This window comes from Homo sapiens, chromosome 12, assembly GCF_000001405.40.
Source record: "Homo sapiens chromosome 12, GRCh38.p14 Primary Assembly".
Lineage (NCBI taxonomy): Eukaryota > Metazoa > Chordata > Mammalia > Primates > Hominidae > Homo > Homo sapiens.
In genome coordinates, this window is record NC_000012.12 from 3,602,047 (window position 1) to 3,610,225 (window position 8,179).

At 46.9% G+C, this 8,179-nt stretch overlaps 2 annotated features.

Moving 5' to 3' along the window:
• Positions 5,023 to 5,524: an enhancer, noted in NCBI's record as "H3K4me1 hESC enhancer chr12:3716235-3716736 (GRCh37/hg19 assembly coordinates)". NCBI's record gives its function as "activates a minimal SCP1, AML or CMV promoter by ChIP-STARR-seq in primed H9 embryonic stem cells {active_cell/tissue: H9 hESC(primed)}" and the evidence as "EXISTENCE:reporter gene assay evidence [ECO:0000049][PMID:30033119]".
• Positions 5,525 to 6,024: an enhancer, noted in NCBI's record as "H3K4me1 hESC enhancer chr12:3716737-3717236 (GRCh37/hg19 assembly coordinates)". NCBI's record gives its function as "activates a minimal SCP1, AML or CMV promoter by ChIP-STARR-seq in naive and primed H9 embryonic stem cells {active_cell/tissue: H9 hESC(naive and primed)}" and the evidence as "EXISTENCE:reporter gene assay evidence [ECO:0000049][PMID:30033119]".

Here is an 8,179-nt window from a genome sequence, read left to right on the forward strand (position 1 = left end):
TGGTCGCCAGTCTCCCTGGCTCTGTTTCCACAGGGCGTGCTGCGGAAGTGACTTGTGAACTCTACACAGCTGTACACACGTAGCTTTTTATGTTACTCCCTCCCAGTCCACAAGCCACAGCTGGCTTTGAATATTCACATTCATGGAGAAGACTATGACCTGCAGAATTTCAAGTAATGGATAATCCAAAAATGTAATTTGACTTGAAGCTTGTAGTGTGCAATCCCCATGCCCTCACCTCATTCTGAGAAATCCTATTTTGAGAAATCAGAGGCTGTCTGGATTTAAGTTTTAAAAACTCAGTGTTTGAGATTTAATGACTTGAAGTCTGGGATGGGGGAAGTACAATTGGGTAGCCTGGAAGCACGCCGGACTCTGGGAAGACTGAGATTAAAGGTATGGCCTGGCTGGTAGAATAAACACGTAACACATTAGAGCTGAGGTTGTTGCTTATGCGGTTTCTTGCTTTACCTCCATCCTCACGCACCCTGGCCACCCCCACTACTCTGTGCTGGCCTGAGGAAGCTGGCCAGAGGGTGATGCTCGAAGTGCCTCCGGCCTTACCTCCCACCCCATCCTTCTACTCTTTCTTCAGGCACAACTGCAAATCTGCTCCTGTCGCTTTCCTGTTTAAACCCCACCCCCGATCCCCCCACCACCAGTGGCTCTCTGTTACCTACAGGCTGATACTGAAACTCCTGCTTGCCCAGGGTAGGCTGTCTGGCTCTGATCTCCCATCTCCCATTCACTGTCGAAGCCCCAGCTCTGTCCCCCATCCCCGGAGTCCTCATCCTGTGCACCGCCCTGGCCATACAAACCGTGTGTCCCGCATGCCTGGGCCCCGTCAGCTGTCACTCTCCTGCTTCCCTGATTTCCTTCTGTTATTTCCCCCCACCAATCATGAACCCCTTTGTTGGAACTAGCAGTCCCCCCCACCCCCATTCCTCCACCCAGAGGCAACTGGGTGTCCAGTTCTCAATGTCCATAGCACAGAGTGAATATTCCTGATCTAAAATGCTTGCAACCAGAAGCATTTTAGGTTTCGGATTTTTTTTTGGATTTTGGATTTTTTTGGATTTTGGAATATTCGCATACACATAATGAGATATCTTGGGGATGGGACCTAAGTCTAAAAATGAAATTTATTTATGTTTCCTATATACTTTACACACAGAGCCGGAAGGTGATTTTATGTAGATTGATAATTGTGTGCACGAAACAAATTTTTGGCTGTGTTTTGACTGTGGTTCATCACATGAGGTCAGGTGTGGAATTTCCACCTGTGGCGTCATGCCAATGCTCAAAACATTTCAGACTTTGGAGGATTATGGATTTTCCAACTAGGGATGCTCATCCTGTATTCTGCATCATCCCTCTCTCATTGTTTTCTACCTGTTTGCTGATATAGATCTTTCACCAACTTGGAGCTCCTTGATTCTTGATTTCTTTATTTTCATATTCTAAGAGCATAGGGTATGGCATGGTACCTCAGCACGTATTGAAACTTGGGTGGGAAGTATTTCAGGCCATTAACAAAAGGACTAAAGAGGAGAGAGTTAGGGATGAAATCAGAATGGGTAGTGTGCGTGGTTTCATCTGTGTGTGTGTGTGTGTGTGTGTGTGTGTGTTGTACACCCACAGACACAGGATGAGTCAGTGTAGCCCCTGAGCCCACCTCCTTCCTGGGTGTAGACAATCAGCACTGACCGCTGTCCGGGCCACTGAGAGGGTCTGGCAGTACTCGGGAGGCCTCAGCACCCTGTTGGGATCTCTGCTTTACTAATGACCTGCCGTGTGGCACTAAGCAAGTCATCAACATCCTCTTAAAGAATTCAGAGAGCGCAGGCAGTGTGGTCAAAGAGGAAGAGGCATCAAAGAGTGGATCTAAGGTCAAGAAAATGCTTGCAAGCTTCTGAGATTTTTCGCTTTCTATTATTCCATTTCATTACTGTTGGTGCTAATAATAGTAATGTTAAACAATTGAAAAATAAAGATCTTCCAGCTTCTAATTAAATCAGAATTTCCAGCAGCAGTTGCGGGGCGGGGGGGTGCAAGAGTTGATATTACTATTTTTAGGGACAGGATCTTGCTCTGTCACCCAGGCTGGAGTGCAATGGTGCAATCATAGCTTACTGCAGCCTTGAACTCCTGGCCTCAAGTGATCCTCCCACCTGGGCCAGGAATTACAAGTGTGAGCCACTGCACCTGACCTATTTTTAAAAAATAAAATAAACTACCAAAAATAAAGAAAAGCCCCGCAGGTGATTTGAACCTGCATCCACTGTTGAGAACCCGAAGTAGCCCCTTCACCTGGGCTCATGTGGTCTGGGACACAGTGCAGTCCGGCCAGGGCAGTACTGCCAGGTCTGGGGGGCTGATCTCCTGATTCCAGCGACTGCAGTGCTGGCCAGGCAGCCGGCCACCTGCCAGGAGATGGGGCATATGAGAGACCACTTAGCAAGTCTCAAAGGAATGATGCCCAGGGATTAGAGGGGATGTGGCTTAATTTACAGCAGGAGAAGATTGGGTTAGATCAAAGCCCCAGAAGGGTTCCCAGTGAATATCCGTCCTTTGTGATGTGGGGAACCCTGCTGCCATGGAAGCTGTGAGACTCTCACAGATGCCTTACTGGAGTTGTAGGGTTCTGGGTGCAGTGAACCCCCTTCCCAGCACTGAGTGGGAAGAAGTTGCAAGGCTTGTGTGGAGCCAGCTGTGGATAGCAAGGGCAATGGGCCAGGGACCAGCTTGGCTGCTCACTGACCTCAAACCCTGGGCACGTCCCTCCTCCTGCCTGGGCCACAGTCTCCTTCCTGTCTATGATTTGAGGAGGGAGCATAGTGAGCGTAATGAGCCAATTCTCAGCCAGCCTGGGGCTTGTTTGTACACACTAGTCAATGCAGAAGACCCCGTTGGCCGGGGGTGGGGGTGAGGGGAGGATTGGCTAGAGTGAGGGCACCCAGCATTCACCCTGGGGGGTGGAGCAGAGGTTAGGGGTACTTACTGGTCTCTGGCAGAGTTGAGGGAAGCCAGACCCCTGTGCTGCCAGCCACTGCTCAGACTAAAGGCTTCCTGTGCCACCGAGTGGGCTGGAGGGAAGGGGAGAGCAGGGGAGATGGGCCTTATGAATGAAAGTTGCTTTGGGAGGGGGAAGGAGAGAAGGGAAAGGAAGGGGAGAGGGAGCGGGGAGAGCACAGAGGAAGGAAAAATGCAGTTTCATCTGCTTGTTTGTGTTTCTTGTATTTAAGATGCCGACTCCTAGCATATTTTTAAATCCATCAGACATGAAAGGCTGATTTAAATAGACCCGCAGTGTGAAGCTGATGATTTCACTTGCCACAATAGGGAAGCTGGCAGGGCTCTGGCCAGGATCCAGCACCTCCCTCCTCGCCAGGGAAGCTGCCGAGCAAATCGCTCTGGGCTAGATAGACTTCCAAGCCAGGTGCTTTCCCCTCCCTGATGGGGACGTAGAAAGAGGAGGAGGGATGGTGGGGAAGAGGAGGAAGAAGTAGGACAGGGAGGAAAGTGAAGAAGAGACGGGTTAAAGGAGGGAAACTGAACTTGAGAAATGAACTAGCCCCCCGTCCTCCTGGGCCTGGAAATCTTCCTAGCTCAGGTCATCCTGACTCCCTGTACCACCTGTGCTATATCCTCTCACTTCACCCTCAGATCCAGGACTGTGGGGTGTAGATGGGGGCCTTGTAATCCTTTGTACCTAATTTCCCAACTGCATTTCTAAGAGCAGAGCTTCAGAAAGTTCACCCTGTGAGGCAGCCTGTTTCCTTGCTAGACAGCACTGTTGGAGATAAACTCCTCCGTTGGGATAAATTGAAATCCTTTCGCTCTGCCATCACCAGTTCTAATCCGGCCCTCCTGAGTCCCTCAGAATAAGCTTAAAGCCAAAGTCAGCCCTTCATCCCCGAACTGCATACTCAGGTTCCCTCTCCAGCGCCAATCCTTCTATGCTGATTTCTAGTCTTTACCGTAAATTATTACAATGCAAATCTCTGCAAAACCAACATATTTCTGGGTGTTAATTAATGTATCTCCTGCTATAGTCAATGCAACAAAATTCCAGGAACCACACAAGATTTTTGCCACTTGTTTCTGTTGTTGTTGTCATTCAACACACTCTGACGATCTACTCTGGAGCTAGGCGAGGGGCTCCTGTTGGCATACAGGATATGAAGGTCTGTCGACCAGAAGCTTGTCTACAGGGTGCGGGGCCACACTCAACAGAGAAGCATGTTCGTGGGCAGGGGTAGAAGGTCGAGGAGCACTGAGCACCCTCCCACTGCGGAGCTGAGAGTCGGGTGAGGTGGGGTGAGGCCCTCAGGGGAAGGAGGGTGGGAGTTATGGTAGAGGCATTTGTACGGCATGTTAATTTCTGCTTGTGCATTTCTAGCTGTTTCCTCCCCTGAAGCACAGTGAAGCACCAAATCCTGTACGTGAGCTTGTCTTCCTTTCCAGCTCTCTCATCTCTTAATATAACCTGAGACCAACACTGAGCGTCTTACAGCTTCAGTTGCTGGGGATCAAAGAGAATTGAATCCTTCCTTCATTCATGGAACACAAATGTTGTGACAGTGTTTCTTCTTAAAATTTTTTATTGTGGTAAAATATACATACCATAAAATTTACAATTTTAACCATTTAAAAATGTACAATTCAACGTCATTAAGTATATTCCCAATAGTGTGTGCAACCATCACCACCATCCATCTCCAGAACTCTGTCATCATCCCAGTGTGAAAGTGTTTTAGAAACCATATATGTAAAGGCAGGTCAATTAGGAATGTGCTAGCTGAAGTCTTGACCGGACAGCAAATTCATCCATCCACCTACCTACTGTGTTTATGTACCAGGCTTGATAAATACAGAAACAAATGAGACCAGAACTACAAGGTAAGAACCTTGTCGTCTGTGATGCTGGGCCCCCTGTCCTACTTCAAAACAGAGTGGGAAGATAGAAAGGATTCTTAGATGAGTCTCTAATTGAAGGAATTCAAGTTTTACTTATTCTCCTTTCCCAGGGAAATGGGAGGTGCTCTCACCCATGGCCTCAGCCTTTCCAGTTACCAAGAGGTGTGGGATTTTCTCTCTCTTTTGTATATTGTTTTGTTCTGGTCTCTTGCATGGGGAGACAGAGGACGATGTAATAACTATCATTTGTTTAGAGCCTTTCAGCTGACTAAGCTCTTTCCCAGGAGTTCTCTTTTGACCTTCACACGAGCCTGCGAGGGAGTAAGGCAGAGAGCACTATTTTGCAGATTTGAAAGCAGGCTCAGAACATCAAGCAGCTCCAGGTTTTGCCCAGGGCCACACAACTTGTGTGCAGGTCCTTATTCTGAGCAGGCCTTTGGGGCTAGAGGAAGCCGCTGAGAGAGCCACAGCTGGGTAAGGGCAAGGGAGGCTGCTTTCACAACAGGAAGGAGGAGAACAGGGCAGGGAAGCATCTTTTGTGTAGAGGCGTGGAGCCCAAGTCACATTGAGTTGTTGAGCTGCCTGTGGGTAATGGATTGCTACTAGTGGCAGCTGGGGAGGCCGCGGGGTGTTGAGACGGATGCTTTGTTGGGCACCACACTGTCTGAAAGGCAATTGAATCGCAGCAGCTGGAACATGCCAACACTTTGTTTCAAAAGTAAGCAGCAGCAACTCATTGGCATCAGTGAGGCAAATCCTAAGGTCTACCTAGGCCACAGGTTAGGGACCTGGGACTCCAGTGGAGCAGCTCACCAGGGGATGGGCCTTGTTCCTGAGAAAGGATGCTCTGCTCTCACTTGTTCCTACAAGTTGAATGTTATTTGTCAGACACTGGACCAAACATGTGGCCACAGAGATGAATGCTCCTGCCCTCAGGAGCTCAGTCCAGTGCCTCTAAATTATTAGAGCCCTGTGGGCAGTGTGTATGAACAAGCACCATACAGAATGGCGCAATTTGCTTCAGTGCAGAGTGGCCTGGAGAGCCCATGCGCCTGATGTTGGGCCACACCCTGACACTCTGCCCTTGACCTAGTGCAGCACGTGCTCAGTGAATCCCAGTTCCCATCATGTTTCCCAAATTCATTCTGAGCTTCACATGTTTTGATTTCTATTTATAAATGTTTCTTTAAAAATCCCATTCTCTCTGTCTATGGTCTTCAGGCATTTTTGCTTAGCACCGCAGTGTTGTTTATGGGTGGTATTTGTTATAGGTCAGATGGATCCACTCATAATTCATTATGATAGCACAGGCCTCACTGGTCCTAGGAGTCCTGAGTTGCTGGGAGAGGAGTCTCCCGGTGCTACGACAAGAGCCTGCAAGTACCACGTTCAAACCAGAGCCAAAGCCTTGATGAAGTCCCAGCTCTGAGAGGGGGTCAGTTCTTGGACCTGACTCAGCCCTAGCCCCAGAACGATAAATGACACACTTTGCCCAAGCTCCTCAGTTTCTACATTGGTTTCGGGTCCTCTGCCAAGCACCATATGGTTTCCCAATCCCTGTCATTTCTAGCAATGTTCTCCCTAAGTAGGGCACTTTGATTAAATTGGTTCCACTGAATTGTAGAAAAGGTGGAGTTATGATGTTCTTTGTCACTGCTATTGTTAGTAATTAATATGTCTATTAATAGAAACATCAACAGAGTTAGGAAGTGGGGGAGGAGATTTAGAAGGTGGTTGTATCCTGTTAACCCTCTCCCCTGCCAGATAAGAAGGGACAGAATAACCAATAAAGTAAAAATCCCATGGCTTTTGACTAAACTTTGTTGGAATTTGTGCAGCCTCTTTCTGCTCCCCAGAGGAAGGGAGGAGAGGTGGCAGTGCTCCTAGGGCCAGCTCAGAAACCAAGCTCGGGCTTTGATCACAACCAGCAACAACAGGCTACTTAAGTCTTGGGTTTTGTATGCATGTGTACCCATAATTTCATTATTTTGAAGTAATTAAGCTGGCTTTTTTAAAGAAAAGCTTCAGATTTGCCCTGATTTGCAGTCTTCCCCTGCAATCCCTTTTGAGTAAAGCTTTGCAGGATGACTGAATTCTTAGAAGGACAGGGAAGATTGTCTGAGCACGTCTGGCCTCTCTTTACTTCCCCTGAGAGACCGGATAACTCCTTGGGCAGCTCACCTCCTCCAGAAGGGCAATAGAAGCTCAGGAAGAGGGGAGGCGTTCTCAGACCTGAAGGGCCTCCTCCTTCTTAGAATCCAGAAGAAACGAGAGACCTTAGAGAGGAGGGTAGAGGTCAAGCTAAAGAAAAAGGCCAGAGTCCTAGCTGGGTTGTGTGAAGTAGGAGAAAGAAAGCAGAGATCGGCAAGCAGAATTTGGTTTGTGCACAGGACAGGTGGCTACCAATCTTACTCTTTGAGACTTTAAGCTATTTTAAATATGTGTAAAGACCTAAAGTAAATCATGTCTAAAGAACTAAAGGCAAGTGTGAGGATAATGTCTCACCAAATAGAGAATACTGATGAAGACAGAGAAATTATAATAAGGAACCAAATTCTGGAAATGAAAAGTACAATAATGGAAAAGAAAAATTCACTAGACAGGCCCAACAGCATATCTGAACAGGCAGAAGAAAGAACTAGTGAGCCTAAAGATCAGTCAATTGAGATTACCCAATCTGAGGAACATAAAGAAAAAAGAATGAATAATAATAAACAGAGCCTCAGAAACCTGTGAGACACCATCAAGCATGTCAAACGCACATAACGGGAACCCCAGAAGGAAAGGAGAGAAAGAAGTAGAAAGAATATTTGAAGAAATAAGGACCAAAATCTCCCCCAATTTCATGAAAACTATTAATCTGCACATTCAAGAAGCTCAACAATCTCCAAGTGGGATAAACTTAAAAAGATCCATAGCTGCACATGTCAAAATGAAACCATTGAAAAACAAAGACAAAGAATTTTGAAAGCACAAAGAGAGAAACAATTCATCAAATAGAAGGGTTCCTCAATGATACCAACAGCTAATTTTACATCAGAAACCATGAAGGCTGGAAACAGTGGGATGACACAGTCAAAGTTCTTTAAAAAAAAAAAAAAGCTGTCAATCAAAAATTCTATATCTGGCAAAACTATCCTTCAAAAATGAAGGATAAATTAAGACATTTCCAGATAAACTGAGAAACTTTATCTCTAACAAGAGAGTTTGTCTCTAACAAGCCTGCCCTACAAAAAATAGTAAAAGCAATCCTTCAGGC